Source organism: Homo sapiens, chromosome 9 (assembly GCF_000001405.40).
Source record: "Homo sapiens chromosome 9, GRCh38.p14 Primary Assembly".
NCBI lineage: Eukaryota > Metazoa > Chordata > Mammalia > Primates > Hominidae > Homo > Homo sapiens.
Window position 1 is genome coordinate 136,059,240 of NC_000009.12, and position 18,422 is coordinate 136,077,661.

Genomic DNA, 18,422 nt, shown 5'->3' on the forward strand with positions numbered 1-18,422 from the left:
AGGCCAAAGGTGCCCAGGCCAGAGCCACACGCACAGGGGCCCGCAGAGCTAAGCAAGGGGCACAGCCATGCTTGGTGTCCAGATGCATGCACCAGCCCATCCGGAGCAGGGCCCTATGACATGCCAGCTCAGCACCTCCAGAGAGAAGCCAGCACGGGGGCTGCGCGAGAGGCCCCAGAGCCCAGACCTGGCGCTCCTGAGAAAGTGGACAGCGGCAGCCCAAGGGGAGTGACCTGAACTCTGGCTGGGAAACCCCACCCGGGCCGCCTCCTTGGGTGTGTGGTCCACTCAGGGAGCTGGGGGGTTGCCGAAGTCGGCTAGACGTTAAACAAAAGGCAAGTCCCTCCTCCAGCAACGCGTCCAGGTCAGCAGGCCCAGCAAGGAACCTGAGCAGGCCGCAGGGCCGGGACTTCCAGCCGGCCACGGGGACACCCTGCATACGGCTGGCCTTGGTCCTCTCCACCATGACAAGGACGGGACAGCCTGCCTTGGGCAGGGCTGCTGGCTACATGGGGACTGTTGGGCCTGTGTGTGTATCCGTGTGGCCCATGAGCATGTCACCCGGCTTCCCCAGCCCTCTAGTCGGCCTGGCCTCCGTCAGAGTCCCTACCTCGCCGTCAAAAGGACCCCAACCCCTCCACCCTAACTCAATTGCAGCCAAGACCCACCCCGATGTCCTGACCAGCAGAGAGGGGCCGCACCCTGTCCCCTCCTCAGGGCGCACGGGGAGCCGCCTCGGGGGACCTGCAGGAGGCACAGGGCCGAGGGACACAGGGTGACCCCACTCTGCCATGAGACAGGGATGCAGAGATGCCGGCTGCCCGCATCTGCCCTGGCGGCATGCCCAGACCTATTTTTAAGCCCATTTACTAGAAATCCCACAAATTAAAGGAAGTACGGATAATGTAGTAAGAATCCTAGGGGCCAAATGAAAGCTGCCACATAATTGTCCTCGTGCGCCAGTGTGAGAATCTTAACCACAAAACCCAAATCTCCCAAAGCTCTTTTGCAACACCGAAGAATCTTGTGTAAAAGAGGGAAAAACGGCGGAAGGTGGGGAGGCCTGCACTTGGCTTTGGGATCACGGGGAGGCCCTGGAGCCGGCTGGGCTGCCTTTAAGCCGGGGCCATAAAAGGTAATTACCGATATGAAAAATAAAGACCATAAATACAAACACCCAACTTCTACAGCTCGGGAATGGCAACTGTGAAACTGTGGCAGCAGGCGCTTCTTTCCAGAAGACAGGGCCAGGCCCAGGCCCCATCCCTCTCCCCTCCCTGAGGGTCAGCTCCACACTGGGGCCGGGTGGGGGGTGCCACTCTGCCTTGACTCATCTGGTTCAGTCCCTGGCCCGAGAAGGCCAAGCCCTGCTTGATCCTCCCTGGCCAAGGCCGCACCCCAGCACCACATGCTTAGCCCCGTCGGGTCTCAAAGGTGCCAGTGGGGGCTGCAGGACGCTCCCAGGTGAAGAGCGTGAGAAACATAGCCGGTGAGCACGGAGCCATCAGGGGGACCCTCAGAGCCCTGGGCACGTCCCCACCAGCCTGCCGGTCTCCAGGCTTCAGCCCTCCCCTGCTCATCCCTCCCACCAGACATGGCTATCCAGGGATCTGCCAGCCGACTAGAGCCTTCTCCTCTGCATCCAGGAAGCCCCCCAACACAGCCAGTCCCTGAGAGACTGGGTACAGGGGTCCGGGGGAAGGTGAAAGGGGGAGGGGAGGGTGTCACCCCAGGATGCCCTGGCCTGAGGCCATGGTTTGTTCTGCACCATCACAGGGTGGGGACAAGGGCCCCCTGGTTCTGTCACATACTGGAACGGACGGACGCCCCCTCAGTGGCTAGGGGAGGAGGAACAATGCCAGGTAAGGGGTTCCTCTTCTGCCTCCTCCCCTTGAATGCCCCTAAACCCCATCCGGGTCTGCACAGCCCCCACCGTGAGCTCAGACTGTGCCGGCTACCGGGGTCTCCCACTGCCTGGTCGGGAGGGACAGGCCAGGACTCCTGACACCCCAGCTGGAGTGGTCACCAAACCCAGGCTGCCCCAGCCTCCAGCCACTGGGACCCACAGCAGGCTCTGCCCATGGCGGCAGCTCCGTTTCCCGGGCACTCACCACACAGAGGCACAGCCCTCAGATAGAGGGGTCCCCTCCCTCCAGGCCCAGATGCTGGAGGTCACCAGGCCCAGCTCCCAGGCTGCCCCCTCACCCAGGAACCCTGACCATTGAGGGGCCCATGGCATTTGGCCGCAGGAAGGGGCTGGAGGCAGAGAGAAGGCAGCTGGGGTAGGGGAAGGCGGATGGATGGGCCGTGCTGATTGTACCCAAGAGGATGCGTGTACACGTTCGGGGGTTGAGACCCTGTGCGGCTCACACCTGGACCCAGCAGGTCTACCCCAGCCCCCAGCCTCAGCCCTCACACGGCCAGGTGGCAACATCCTCCTGGTCAGAAAGAGGCAGATCGGAGGTCTAGCAGGCTCAGGAACCAGCGAGAAGCCAGGTGGGTGGGCGGGGACAAGCACATGAAGCAGATACAGATACAGAGTACAGAGGCCCAGGTACAATGGCCCAGGTACAGAGCAGGCCATTACGAAAAGTTGGTGGCCGGGCGCGGTGGCTCACAACTGTAATCCCAGCACTTTGGGAGGCCAAGGCGGGCGGATCACCTGAGGTCAGGAGTTCGAGACTAGCCTGGCCACCATGGCGAAATCCCATCCCTACTAAAAATACAAAAATTAACTGAGCGTGGTGGTGTGCACCTGTAATCCCAGCTACTCAGGAGGCTGAGGCAGGAGAATCGCTTGAACTGGGGAGGTGGAGGTTGCAATGAGCCGAGATTGCACCACTGTACCTGTACTCCAGCCTGGGCAACAGAGCGAGACAGGACAGGACAGGACAGGACAGGACAGGACAGGACAGGACAGGACAGGACAGGACAGGAAAGGAAAGAGAGAGAAAAGAAAGAAAGAAAAGTTAGCAAGAAATTAGCAACTAAGCAACATGATGACTGCAAATACTTCCCCCCAACGCCAAGGGACCACCCAGCAGTCACTCGCTTACCTAGGAGGATGCACCTTTGACCTGCCATCTACCCGGACCCTGGAAAGTTACAGGTATACATGTCAGCTTTTGTCCAGGAAACATGCAAAGATTTCTCTCTATAGAAAAGACAGTCCCAAAGACAGTGAGGTTTTGGCCCGTGGGGCATTAACCAGTTTTAGACCTTGTCTAGCAAGATCTGGTAGCACTTCGTCTTCAGTGCCTAGGCCCAGAGGCTCCTCTGGCCCTCTCCCAGCCAGTGACCATCCTACCTGCTCCTTCATCGATGAGTTAAATACATAATACCTGTTCTCTGTACGTTCACACCAGCCTCATTTATCACTCTAAAAATTATACAGGCTGGGCACAGTGGCTCATGCCTGTAATCCCAACATTTTGGGAGGTCAGCGGGGGTGGACTGCTTGAGCCCAGCAGTTCAAGACTAGCCTGGGCAACATGGCGAAACCCCATCTCTACAAAAAAATACAAAGACTTAGCCAAGTGTGGTGGTGTGTGACTGTAGTCCCAGCTGCTTGGGAGCCTGAGGTGGGAGGATCACCTAAGCCTGGGAGGCCGAGGCCGCAGTGTGCCGTGATCGTGCCACTGTACTCCAGTCTGGGCAACAGGGCAAGACCCTGTCTCTAAATAAGTAAATAAATAAAATTATACGTTCACAGGACATCCCAGAAACATGAGGTACATGGCCTGTGCTCAACCCCATGCCTGTCTTCTTGTGTCTCCCCAAGAGAAGAAGCCCGACTTTGCCGTCACTGTTTTCTTCTAATTTTTGTTCTCGTTGTTGTTGTTGAGCCCTTTCACCCCGGGACTGTTTCTGTGTCTGGTTGTGGGCCAGGTCTGTCGATCTGTCTCTCTCCTGTCAAACGTGTGGTTTGAGCCGCATTCCCATTACGTGGCGGGGACCAGGGATGAGCAGCTCCCGGGACCCCTGGGCTGGTCTCGGCCATGCTGTGCAGAGCACCTGGGAGCAACGCACCAGCGAGGGGGCCCTGGAGGCTGGGGTCTGACTCTGTGGGCTGATCCTGTGGAGATGCCTGCAGGGCCAATGAGGGGCTCGAGTCCTGTGCCTATTGGTCATCTTTGTTCTTCAATCCAGGAAAGAGGTCACGTACATTGCAGAAGCAAACACCTCCCTCTGAGATAAGAAGAGGGGCCATTTTCCAGATTTACGTTTGACCTGTGGCCGAGCCTGCAAGTTCTCTGCATGTCCATCACCAGGACCAGGACGAGCCTTTCCCTCCCATAAAGTATAGAGTTTTTCCTACCTGGGAAGGGTATGCACAAACAAGATTAGGAAATCTCTTAAAAAGGCCGAGCACGGTGGCTCACGCCTGTAATCCCAGCACTTGGGAGGCCAAGGCGGGTGGATCACCTGAGGCCAGGAGTTCTAGACCAGCCTGGCCAACAAAGTGAAATCCCATCTCTACTAAAAATAGAAAAATTAGCCAGGTGTGGTGGTGGGCGCCTATTATCCCAGCTACTCAGGAGGCTGAGGTAGGAGAATCACTTGAACCCGAGAGGTGGAGGTTGCAGTGAGCCGAGATCATACCACCTGCACCCCAGCCTGGGAAACAGAGCGAGACTCCATCTCAAAAAAAAAAAAAACAAAAAAAACAAAAATCACTTAAACAGCTGTGCCCTCATCGGCTAGAAGATACTGTGCAACTTTACAAATCTAACACTGTTAGAGCCCCCAGAATATAATGAAACTGTAGGCCAGGCGTGGTAACTCAGGCCTATAATCCCAGCACTTTGGGAGGTCAAGGCTGGAAGATCACTTGAGTCCAGGAGTTTGAGACAAGCCTGGACAGCACGGCAAGACCTCATCTCTACAAAAAATTCAAACATGAGCTGGGCGTTGTGTTGTGTACCTGTGGTCCCAGCTACTCAGGAGGCTGAGGGGGGAGAATCACTTGAGCCCAGGCGATCGAGGCTGCAGTGAACTATGACTGCACTACTGCACTCCAGCCTGGGTGACAGAGTGAGGCCCTGCCTCAAAAAAAAGACAAAAGTAAATCCTAATCCTTAAAAACTACTGGAAGAATGAACAAGCACAGCAAGATTGCAAAATATAAACTCAGTATACAAAAATCACAAGTATTTCTCTACACTTGCAATGAACAACCTAAAAATAAAATCAAGTAAACAATTCCATTTACAACGGCATCAAAAAGCATAAAATACATAGGAATACATTTAACAAAAGTAGTGTAAAACTCATACTTTGAAAGCTTCAAAATTTTGTTGAAAGAAATGAAAGATCTAAAGAAGTAAAACATCCATATTCATGGGATGGGAAGACCTAACATTATTAAAGTCTTCCTTAATAATGTTAATTAAGGAATATGTCCCGAATTTATCTACAGACTCAATGCAATCTCTATCAAAATTCCGGTTAATTTCTTTGCCAACATTGTCGAGCTGATGCTAAAAATTCATATGGAAACGCAAGGGACCCAGGAGAGCCAAAACAATATTAAAAAAGAGGAGCGAAGTTAGAGCAGTCATACTTCCCAATTTCTGCTATAAAGCTACTGTAATCAATATAGTATGGTGCTGATCTAAGGACAGACTTAGATCAATGGAACAGATGAGTCTACAAATGTATTCATGTGTCTGCAGCCAATTAATTTAACAAGGGTGCCAAGACCATTCAATGGGGAAAGAACAGTCTTTTCAAAATGTGGTGCTGGGACGACTGGATAGCCACATGCAAAAGAATGAAGCAGGACCCTTCCCTCACACCATATACAAAAATTAACTTAAAATATTTCAAAGACCTAAATGTAAGAGCTAAAACTATAAAACTCTTACAAGAAAAGACAGGATAAATCTTTGTGGTCTTGGGTTAAACAATGGATTCTTAGATATGACACCAAAGAGCAAAGCAACAAAAGGAAAGAACAAACCAGACCAGGTGAGGTGGCTCACACCTGTAATCCAACACTTTGGGAGGCTGAGGCAGGAGTATCGCTTGAGCCCAGGAGTTCAAGACCAGCCTCGGCAACATAGTGGGACCTCGTATCTACAAAAAATAAATAATTAGGCTGGGCGTGGTGGCTCACACCTATAATCCCAGCACTTTGGGAGGCCGAGGCGGGCAGATCACTTGAGGTCAGAAGTTCAAGACCAGCCTGGCCAACATGGTAAGATCCCGTCTCTACTAAAAATACAAAAGTCAGCCAGATGTGGTGGCGCACGCCAGTAGTCCCAGCTACTCAGGTGGTTGAGGCAGGATAATTGCTTGAACCTGAGAGGCAGAGGTTGTGGTGAGCCAAGATTGCGCCACTGCACTCCAGCCTGGGTGACAAAGCGAGACGCGGTTTCAGATACATAAATAAGTAAATAAACAAATAATAAAAAATTAGCCAGGAGTGGTGGCACATGCCTGTAGTCCCAGCTACTCAGGATGCTGAGGTGTGAGAATCACTTTAACCTAGGAGGTTGAGGCTGCAGGAAGGGGCTGGAGCCGTGATCACGCCACTGTCCTCCAGCCTGGGTGACAGAGACCCTGTCTCCAAAAAAAAAAAAGAAAAGGAAAGAAAACCCAGATACATTAGACTTCCTCAAAATTTAAAAATCTTGTGCTTCAAAGAATACCATAAAGAAAGTAAAAAGAGGCCGGGCATGGTGGCTCACGCTTGTAATCCTAACACTTTGGGAGGCCAAGGCAGGTGGATAACCTGAGGTCAGGAGTTTGAGACCAGCCTGGCCAACATGGTGAAAACCCATCTCTACTAAAAATACAAAACTAGCCGGGTGTGGTGGTGGGTGCCTGTAACCCCAGCTACTCGGGAGGCTGAAACAGGAGAATCACCTGAGCCCGGGAGGCAGAGGTTGCAATGAGCCACAAACGTGCCACTGCACTCTAGCCTGGGCAATAGAGTGAAACCCCATCTCAAAAAAAAAAAAAGAAAGAAAGAAAAAGAAACCAAAGAATAGAAGGGAATATCTGCCAACCATACAAGAGACTTATATCTAGAATGTATAAATAATTCTGACAACTCAACAATAAAAAGACAAATAACTCAATTTAAAAATAGGCAAGGCATCTGAAAAGGTATTTCTCCAAATACTATACACAAATGTCCAATATACACACGCAAAAATACTCAGCATCATTAGCCGTCAGGGAAATCCAAATCAAAACCACAAAGAGATACCACTTCATACCCACTAGGATGGCTATAATCAAAAAGACAGAAAACAAAGGTTGGTGGAAATGTAAAGAGATGTAGCGATCGGGAATGCAAAATGTTAGGGCCACTTATGGAAAACAGTCTGGAATTTCCTCAAAAGGTCAAATAGAATTCCTACATGACCCAGCAATTCCAACCCTAGGTATGCAGCCAAGAGAAAGGAAAGCATGCATCCACACGCAAACTTGTTTGGAGTGTCCTAGCAGTATCATTTGCAATAGCCAAGAAGTGGAAATACACAAATGTCTATCACGGGCTGAATGGGTAAGTAAAATGTGGAATATCCATACAATGTCATTCAGCAATGATAGGAATGAAGTACTGGGAGAGCACGGATGAGCGCTACGCTAAGCGAAACATTACGCTAAGTGTGAAAAAAAATGCTGGTCACAAGAGGGCACATATTATGAGATTCCATTTATATAAAATGTCCAGAACAGATCATTTAAAAAGATTAAAAAAAAAAAAAAAAGATTTAGCTGGACGCAGTGGCTCAAGCCTGGAATCCCAGCACTTTGGGAGGTCAAGGCAGGCGGATCACCTGAGGTCGGGAGTTCGAGACCAGCCTCGGCAAGCAACATGTCGAAACCCCGTCTCTACTAAAAATACAAAATTAGCCAGGCGTGGTGGTTCATGCCTGTAATCCCGGCTACTCGGGAGGCTGAGGCAGGAGAATCGCTTGAACCCGGGAGGCGGACGTTGCGGTGAGCCAAGATCGCACCAAGATCGCACACAGCCAAGAGCTAGCCTAAGCAACAAGAGGGAAACTCTGTCTCAAAAAAAAAAAAAAAAAAATTGTTGTTGCCTAGAGCCGGGAGCAGTGGGGGTGGGGGAGGGATGGGGAAATGAGAATGACTACTAAAGGGTGTGGTTTTTGGAGTGATGAAGATGTTCTAAAATTCACGATGGTAATGGTTGCATAACTCTGAATACAGACGTGTTGATTAACGACGGGGATATATCCTGAGAAATGCATCATTAGGTGATTTTGTTGTTCTCTGAACACCGCAGGTGATTTTGTCGTTCTGTGAACACCACAGAATGCACTTAAACGATGCTCGATGGGCCGGGCGCGGTGGCTCACGCCTGTAATCCCAGCAATTTGGGAAGCCAAGGCGGGCAGATCACGAGGTCAAGAGATCGAGACCATCTGGCCAACATGGTGAAACCCTGTCTCTACTGAAAATACAAAAATTAGCCGAGCGTGGTGGCGGGCACCTGTAGTCCCAGCTACGTGGAAGGCTGAGGCAGGAGAATCACTTGAACCCGGGAGGCGGAGGTTGCGGTGAGCCGAGATCGCGGCACTGCCTCCAGTCTGGCAACAGGGCGAGACGCCATCTCAAAAACACAGAAACAAAACCAAAGCCAGGTGGTACAGCCTAACTGTGGTTAGGCTATATGGCATAGCCTAGTGCTCCTGGGCTATAAACCTATAGAGCATGTTACTGTACTGAATAGCATAGGCAACTGTAACACAATGGGAAGCATTTGTGTATCGAAACATAGTAAAGGTTCAGTAAAAATATAGGATAAAAGATTAAAAATGGTACAACTCTATAGGACACTTATCATGAATGGAACTTGCGGGACTGGGCATTGCTCTGGGTGAGTGAGTAGTGAGAGAATGTGAAGGACTGGGATATTACTATATGCTACTAAAGACTGTATAAACACCGAACATTTAGGCTACACTACATTTATCTTTTTTAAAAAAGTAATTGTGTGGCTGGGCGCAGTAGCTCATGCCTGTAACCCCAGCACTTTGGGAGGCCAAGGAGGGCAGATGACCTGAGGTCAGGAGTTCAAGACCAGCCTGGTCAACATGGCAAAACCCTGTCTCTACCAAAAAATACAAAAATTAGTTGGGCATAGTGGTGTGTGCCTGTAATCCCAGCTACACAAGAGGCTGAGGCAGGAGGATCGCTTGAACCCAGGAGGCAGAGGTTGCAGTGAGCCGAGATCACACCATTGCACTCCGGCCTGGGCAACAAGAGTGAAACTCCGTCTCAAAAAAAAAAAAAAAAAAAGTAATTGTGCAATGACATTATGATGGCTACATCGTCACTAGGCAATAGAATTTTTCAGCTCTATGATAATCTCATGAGAGCAACACTGTATACGCTGTCCCCTGAACTGCTGTTATGCAGCATGTGACTATATACTAAAAACCACTAAATTATACAGTGTATGAGTGAATTGTATGGCATGTAAACTGTCTCAATAAAGATGTCATTTCAAAAATAAAAACACAGATAAACCAAAAGGAAATTTTAAAAATCGAGTGGCTCACAGGAAGGCAGGAAAAAGAAACAAAAGATAGAACAGAATCAAAAACTAAAATAGGAGACAAGGCCTCAGTACATCAATAATTCCATTAAATGTAAATGATCTAAATACACCCATTAAAAGACAGAGATTGAAAGAATACTTTTTTTTTTTTTTAAAGATGGAGTTTTACTCTTGTTGCCCAGGCTGGAGTTTAATGGCACAATCTCGGCTCTGTCTCCCAGGTTCAAGCAATTCTCCTGCCTTAGCCTCCCAAGTAGCCAGGATTAAAGGCATGTGCCACCACACCCAACTAATTTTTTGTATTTTTAGTAGAGACGGGGTTTCACCAAGTTGGCCAGGCTGGTCTCAAACTCCTGACCTTGTGATCTGCCCGCCTCGGCCTCCCAAAGTGCTGGGATCATAGGCGTGAACTGCCGTGCCCAGCCTGAGGTGAGTTTCTTTTAGATAGCATATAGCTGAGTCATATTTTAAAATGTATTCTATTGACTGGGCGCGGTGGCTCACACCTGTAATCCCAGCACTGTGGGAGGCTGAGCCAGGTGGATCTCACCTGAGGTCAGGAGGTCGAGACCAGCCTGGCCAACATGGTGAAACCCCTTCTCTACTAAAAATACAAAAATTAGCCGGGCGTGGTGGCAGGCACCTGTAATCTCAGCTACTCGGGAGGCTGAGGCAGGAGAATTGCTTGAAACCAGAAGGCGGAGGTTGCAGTGAGCCAAGACTATGCCACTGCATTCCAGCCTGGGTGAAAGAGTGAAACTCTGTCAAAAAACAAAACAAAACAAAACAAAACAAAACAAAAAAAACACCTCACTTCAAATATAATGATATAGGTAGGTTAAAATAAAAAGAATAGAAAAAGATAAATTATGCAAACATAAAAGAAAGCAAGGGTTGTTTTACTTCAAATAAAGCATATTTCAGAGCAAATAAAATTATCAGAGATAGAGTAGGACGTGACATAATAATTAAAGCATCAATCCACTAAGACACAGCAATCCTAAATGTCCATGTACCAGACAACGGAACTACAAAATACATGAAGCACAAACCAATAGAACTAAAGACAAACCCACAATTCTAGTAGAGACTTCAACAGCCTTCTCTAAACAAGGATAGAACTAGATAGAAAATCAGCAGAGATAGAGTGAGTTAAATAACATCAGCAGGATCTAACTGACATTACAGAACTCTCCACTCAACAACAGCAGAACATATGTTCTTTTCACGTGCCTGTGGAACATATGCCAAGACAGACAATATTCTGGGCCAGAAAGAAAACTTCAAGAACTTTACAAGACTTAAAATTACACAGTGTGTTCTCTAACCACAGTGGAATCAAACTAGAAATCGTAACAAAGGTAACAGGGAAATCTAGAAATGGAAATAACATACATCTAAGTAATCCATATGTCAAAGAAGAAGTCTCAAGAAAATCAAATACGGGCCGGGCGTGGTGGCTCACGCCTGTAATCCTAGCATTTTGGGAGGCCGGGGCGGGTGGATCACAAGGTCAGGAGTTCAAGACCAGCCTGGCCAAGATGGTGAAACCCCGTCTCTACTAAAAATGCAAAAAAATTAGCCGGGCGTGGTGGTGGGCGCCTATAATCCCAGCCACTGGGGAGGCTGAGGCAGAGAACTACTTGAACCCGGGAAGCGGAGGTTGCAGTGAGCCGAGATCGCGCCACTGCACTCCAGCCTGGGCGACAGAGCGAGACTCGTCTCAAAAAAGAAAATCAAATACAATGAAAAGAAAAATACAACATACCAAAGTTTGTGGGACACCACTTAGGTGGGGCTGAGAGGAAAATTTATAGCATTAATGGATGTATTAGAAAAAAGGAAAAGTCTCAAATCAATTATATAAGCTCTCATCTCAAGGAATCAGAAAAAAAAAAAACAAAAACCAAAAACTTGAAGCAAGCAGAAGAAAAGAAATGATAAAAATAAGAACATAAATCAATAAAATTGAAAACAAGAACAGAGGAGGAAAAAAATCAATGAAACAGCTGGGTTTTTGAAAAGATCAATAAAGTTGACAAACATCTAGCAAGACTGACAAGAGTAGATACAAATTAATTTTAGTATCAGAAATGAAACAGGAGACATAATTACAGACCCTGCAGATAGCAAAAGGATAACGTGGAAATAGTAAGAACAATTTGACTGCTGGGTGCAGTGGCTCACACCTGTAATCCCAGCACTTTGGGAGGCTGAGGTAGGCGGATCTCTTGAGGTCAGGAGTTCAAGACCAGTCTGGCCAACACAGTGAAACCCATCTCTACTAAAAAAAACTTTAAAAATTCGCCAGACATGGTGGCTCATGCCTGTAATCCCAGCTACTCGGGAGGTTGAGGCAGGAGAATCGCTTGAACCTGGGAGGCAGACGTTGCGGTGAGCCAAGATCATGCCACTACACTCCATCCAGCCTGGGAGACAGAGCAAGACTACGTCTCAAAAAAAATAAAGTAAAATTTAAAAAGGCTGGGCGCGGTGGCTCACGCCTATAATCCCAGCACTTTGGGAGGTCAAGGCTGGCAGATCACGAGGTCAGGAGTTTGAGACCAGCCTGGCCAACATGGTGAAACCCCGTCTCTACTAAAGATATGAAAATTAGTTGAGCGTGGAGGCAGGTGCCTGTAATCCCAGCTATTCAGGAGGCTGAAGCAGGAGAATCACTTGAACCTGGGAGGTGGAGGTTGTACTGAGCTGAAACCATGCCAATGCACTCCAGCCTGGATGATAGAGTGAGACTCCATCTCAAAAAAAAAAAAAAAAAAAAAAAATACCAGCAAGACCTTTTGTAAATATAGATGAGCTCATTCTTAAATATATATGAAAAGGCAAAGGAATGAAAATAGCTAAGACAATTTTGAGAGAGAATTAAGTGGGAGAAATCAGGCTACCTGATTTCAAGGCTTATTATAAACTATAGTGATCAAGACTGTGTGGTATGGACAGAGGGACAGACATATGGATCAATGGAACAGAATTTAAAAAACCCAAAATAGACCCACACAAAATTTGCCCAACTGATTTTTTTAAAAAAGAGGCAAAAGCAATTCAGGGGAGAAGAGCCGGCCTTTGAAGCCAATGGAGCTGGGGCAACTGAACGTCCAGACGCAAATGTGCTGAACTCCACCCAAGCCTCACACCCCATTCAAAATTACCCAAAGGCCAGGCACGGTGGCTCGAGTCCGTAATCCCAGCACTTCGGGAGGCCCAGGTGGGTGGATCACCTGAGGTCAGGAGTTTGAGACCAGCCTGGCCAACATGGTGAAACCCCGTCTGTACTAGAAATATAAAAATTAGCTGGGCATGGTGATGTGCGCCTATAATCCCAGCCACTCGGGAGGCTGAGGCAGGAGAATTACTTGAAACCGGGAGGCGGAGGTTGCAGTTAGCCGAGATCGTGCCATTGCACTCTAGCCTGGGCAACAAGAGTGAAACTCTGTCTCAAAAAGAAAAAAAAAAAAACCCAAAGGCAGGGCATGGTGGCTCATGTCTGTAATCCCAGCACATTGGGAGGCCACGGTGAGCAGATCACTTGAGGCCAGGAGTTTGAGATCAGAATGGCCAACACAGTGAAATCCTGTCGCTAATGAAAATACAAAATTAGCCGGGCGTGCTGGTGTACACCTATAATCCCAGCTACTTGAGAGGCTGAGGCACAAGAATTGCTTGAACCCAGAAGGCAGAGATTGCAGTGAGCCAAGATCACACCACTGCAATCCAGCCTGCACAACAGGGCAAGACTCTGTCTCAAAAAAGAAAAGAAAAGAAAAAAAAGGCTGGGTGTGGTGGCTTATGCCTGTAATCCCAGCACTTTGGGATGCCGAGGCGGGCGGATCACCTGAGGTCAGGAGTTCAAGACCAGCCTGACCAACATGGAGAAACCCTGTTTCTACTAAAAATACAAAAAATTAGCTGAATGTGGTACATGCCTATAATCCCAGCTACTTGGGAGGCTGAGGCAGGAGAACCACTTGAACTCAGGAGGCGGAGGCTGTGGTGAGCCTAGATCATGCCATTGCACTCCAGCCTGGGCAACAAGAGTGAAACTCCGTCTCAAATAAATAAATAAATAAATAACCCCAAAATGAATTGGAGACTTAAACATAAAACTAGAGGGGAAAGAAAAAAACACACAAGAGAATAAAATATTTGTAGAATCCGGGGCTAGGCAGAGAGTTCTTCCATAAAAGAAAAAAACTGATAAACTGGACTTTATCAAAATTTAAAAACTTTTGCTCAGCACAAGACACAGGTAATGGGATGAAAAGACAAGACACAGGCTGGTAGAAAAAACATGCCAGGAACACATTTAACAAAGGACTAATATCTAGGCTACATAAAGAATTAATTGGCCGGGTATGGTGGCACGTGCTTGTAGTCTCAGCTACACGGGAGGCTGGGGTGGGAGGATCACTTGAGCCCAAGAGTCCAAAACCAGCCTAGGCAACATAGGGAGACTCTGTCTGTACAAAAAATAAAAATAAACTAGCTGGGCATGGTGGAGCGCACCTGTGGTCCCAGCTACTTGGGAGACTGAGGTGGGAGGATCGCTTGAGCCTAGGAGGTGAAGGCTGCAGTGAGCTGTGGTCTTACCGCTGCACTCCAGCCTGGGTGACAGAGCAAGACTGTCTCAAAAAAAAAATTTTTAATAAAAAATAAAAAATGAGGACCCCAGTAGGAGCTGCAGTGGACAGGGGGTGTGAGCGTGGATCCAGCTGTATCAGAGTATAGTCCTGCCCATCAGGGGAGAAGAGGCGCTTGTCTCAAAGTGAAATGCACAATTGGTCTCGAATGCCAAAGAGAACAGGAAAAGACAAAAGACTCCAGTGGATGTATGGACAACCCAAGAATGTTTGCAGAAAGTCGACTTGATTTCCCTCGGTTCATAATACCTGGAAATAAGGAGTATGAAAAGCAGCTGCGTGTGTGCTACAATTTTGGCACAATTTGCTCAGTTTCAATGGGTCTATTCCTAATTGTTTTAAAGGTGCTTATGCATCCTCTACTGCCAAGTACTGCATTTGCGTCCAAGCAGGATTTGGTGTTCTGTCTGCTAAAATGCTGCCTGGTCTTGGAGTATCTGGTCTGCCCAGAAGCAGGGTCAGCAGTAAGCGGTGATCCTTCCCTCTGCCCTGAAAGCAGACCCTGGCTCTCACCGAAGTAACCAACAGGGATTTGCACAGACTCCGTCATGTCCTTGACTATTTTTTTAAAAAAATTAAGATCTTGGCCGGGCACAGTGGCTCATGCCTGGAATCCCAGCACTTTGGGAGGCTGAAGCAGAAGGATCACTTGAGTCCAGGAGTGAGAGACCAGGAGAGATGGTAAGATTATAGTCTCCACAAATAATTTGTTAAAAAATTAGCCAGGCATGGCCAGGCGCGGTGGCTCATGCCTGTAATCCCAGCACTTTGGGAGGCCGAGGAGGGCAGATCACGAGGTCAGGAGATCCAGACCATCCTGGCTAACACGGTGAAACCCCGTCTCTACTAATAAAATACAAAAAAATTAGCCGGGCATGGTGGTGGGCGCCTGTAGTCCCAGCTACTCGGGAGGCTGAGGCAGGAGAATGGAGTGAACCCGGGAGGCGGAGCTTGCAGTGAGCCGAGGTTGTGCCACTGCACTCCAGCCCGGGCGACAGAGCAAGACTCCGTCTCAAAAAAAAAAAGAAAAAAGAAGAAAAAGAAAACAAAGTTCTTCATTCCAGAAACATTAAGGTTCTTTATAAAGATGTTAATAATTTCTGAGGTTATTTAAAATTATGTATCATCCCTTCAATTAACACAGACGGACAGGTCAAAACCATTCCTCGTTCTGTCACAGCAAGGCTGCCTGCCTTCCTCAAGGAACCTATCTCTGGTTCAACATTGACTCAATACTGACCGTGCCTCCACCAAGTCACACCCTAAACTGCACCGACAGATGAAGCTGGACCTTCCGAACGACCATCCCCTGTGACTCCCAGAGGGCCCATGTCGGTGGTCACATTCTGTTCCCAGCTCACCTGCGGGGCTCGGGGATGTATCACTCAGCCTCGGCGTCTACACCTCACACAGAGCGGCAGGAAGCGTGGCCTTCCCAGCCGAGGCGGAGTCGGCAGGGCCGGGGGATGCTGGCGGGAATGGGTTCTCGCACGGCCTCCTTCTGGGAGCCCGGGAGCTCTGTCCCCCACTCACTGTCGCGTATGGGGCTGGGGGAACAGCAATCGGATCCTCACGAAACAGTGACGTGAGGCCCAGTAGAGGACGTGACCTCCTCCAGGCCGACGCTCTTGGTTCTGCGTGAAATGAGCCGATTCCACCTTGTCCTCAATGGCGGCTTCTGCTCCCTCAAAGCGGCAGGCCAGGAAGTGGGGAGCCCCAGGTGTGGGTGCAGCAGGCTGCAACGCCCCCCACACACAGACTTGGCCTCAGACAGCTGTCACATGGCACCAGGGAGGTGGCCAGGACTCCAGGACACATTCTGGTCCAGTCCGGCACTGACCGGGATGAGGGAGAGCTGGCTGCGGCCGCCTGGCTGGGATACTTGGGGGGAAAGCCCTCCCTAGCTCCCCCGAGGCTGGCTGCTGCGAACTGACTGAAGCGCTCATTACAGGGTGTCCACTCTCCCCGGGCTTGGAACTCGGAGGCGAATGTCTCCCCGAGCCTGTTTCCCTTTCGTAGACGTCGGCAGCGGCTCCGTGTGAACCTGCCGTCTCCTACATCGCGGTACAGTTTCTCAAACAGATCGCGCAGCTGGGGCCAAGCCCAGGCTGTCGTGCCTGAGGACGCATCTTCTTTTATCGGGCATAGGCCCACATTCAGGGTTCGGGGTCGCAGGTCCTGCGGGAGCAGAGCCTGCAGGGCCCCCTCAGGAAACCTGTGCTGATGCTGTCCTGAGCTCCCTGTGCCCGGTCTTCCACACGCGGGGAGGACACCCCCGTGCAGACTGCGCCCAGGGGAGGAGACCCACCCAACACCCACAGGCCCTGTCGGTGAAACCTCAGAGACAGGGGTCTTGGGTTTGGGCTCTGAGGCTCGGGACACAAGATTCAATAAGAGCAAAGTCATCTCCTCTGGAGTGAGAGGCTGCTGAAAACGGAACCCAGGCTTTCCTACAAAGCGCCCAGGAGCAGCCCCGCAGCCCTCCATGTGCTCAGTGCCTGTGGCCCTGGGGCTGCTGCCCACTCCTCTGCTGCATCTGTGACAAAACTCCGAGACACCCGCTTCTCAAAGCCCTGCATGAAGGTTACGTGTGGTCACGAAGAGATCCTGCAAAGAACAGTCATCGAAAACTTGGAAATAAAGTAAACAGGCACCCTTCGCGGCCTCTGCCTGATTTGCAACTCAGTAGTGATGACACCCCATACCCCGTGACATCCTAAGTCTCCTATATGCAACCAAAAGAAAAGCAAATGATTTCCATCCAGTAGCAAAGAGAACCCCAAGGGGCAGCGTTTCCCGGCCCTGCGGAACTCGAAGAAGTGCTGTAACTAACCCAACAATCTATCCAGCCTCCTCTCCTCAGTGACTCTAAACACCCAGTTCCTCAAATGTTCTCTGAGCCAGGTTTCCTGCCCATACCACGACAAAAATGAAATGAAATTCTGATGCACCCCCCAGCCCGGTGAACCTCAAAGACACTATGCCGAGTGAAAGCCACCAGGCACACACAGACAACGCCACGGGGTTCCACTCACACGCGGGCACAGAGCAGGACAGTTCAGAGACAGGAAGCAGAACGGAGGTTTCCAGGGGCTGGGGGACTGCGGAGGGGAGTTGGTGTTCAATGGGTGCAGTTTCGGTCAGGGATGATGAAAACGTTCTGCAAACAGAGGTGAGGGTTGACAGCCATGGGAATGTTCTTACTGCCACTGAACTGTGCGCTTAAAAAATGGTTAAAATGGTGAATTTCATGTTGTGTATATTTGACTACAATTTTTAAAAAATGTATTGGCCTGGTGGTGGCTCATGCCTGTAATCTCAGCACTTTGGGAGGCTGAGGTGGGTGGATCATGAGGTCAGGAGATCGAGACCATCCTGGCTAACACGGTGAAACCCCTTCTCTACTAAAAATACAAAAAAAATTAGCCGGGCGTGGTGGCGGGCGCCTGTAGTCCCAGCTACTTGGGACTAGGCGGAGAATGGCGTGAACCCAGGAGGCAGGGCCTGCAGTGAGCCGAGATCGCGCCACTGCACTCCAGCCTGGGCGACAGAGCGAGACTCTGTCTCAAAAATAAATAAATAAATAAATAAAATAGCCGGGTGTGGTGGCGGGCGCCTGTAGTCCCAGCCACTTGGGAGGCTGAGGCAGGAGAATCGCTTGAACCCGGAGGTGGAGGTTGCAGTGAGCCGAGATTGCGCCACTACACTCCAGCCTGGGTGACAGAGAAAAAAACAAACAAAAATTAGCTGGGCGTGGTGGCGGGCGCCTGTAGTCCCAGCCACTTGGGAGGCTGAGGCAGGAGAATTGCTTGAACCCGGAGGTGGAGGTTGCAGTGAGCCAAGATTGCGCCATTGCACTCCAGCCTGGGCGACAGAGCAAGACTCCGTCTCAAAAAACAAAACAAAACAAAAAAAGCAGAAGAGAAACATGGCCTTTGGCAAAACAAACAAACAAACAACAAAAACCCTAACAGGGCACAAAGGACATTGTTGATAAGTCGTGCTTCATTAAAATATTGAAAAATAAAGACCAACACTAAGAGAAAAAACAAGCCGAGAAGGACAGACCTTTGCAACATATGTATCTTCAGCAAAGGGCGTGTGGTCAGAGTATGGAAAGAATTCTACAAATTCTACAAATCCATCAAGAAAAGGGAAACGCACAGAGGAGGGAGGGGCAAGAGCCCAGAACAGGCCCTTCACAGAGGAGAAGGTCCCCAGGC

At 49.5% G+C, this 18,422-nt stretch overlaps 1 protein-coding gene across 1 annotated transcript in view, besides 1 other annotated feature; it reads right to left on the bottom strand.

The window, feature by feature from the left end:
• Nucleotides 1–18,422, bottom strand: part of NACC2 (NACC family member 2) — an 88,753-nt gene that overhangs the window by 52,703 nt on the left and 17,628 nt on the right. The window lies entirely within an intron of this gene.
• Nucleotides 15,397–16,147: an enhancer, noted in NCBI's record as "H3K27ac-H3K4me1 hESC enhancer chr9:138966482-138967232 (GRCh37/hg19 assembly coordinates)". NCBI's record gives its function as "activates a minimal SCP1, AML or CMV promoter by ChIP-STARR-seq in naive H9 embryonic stem cells {active_cell/tissue: H9 hESC(naive)}" and the evidence as "EXISTENCE:reporter gene assay evidence [ECO:0000049][PMID:30033119]".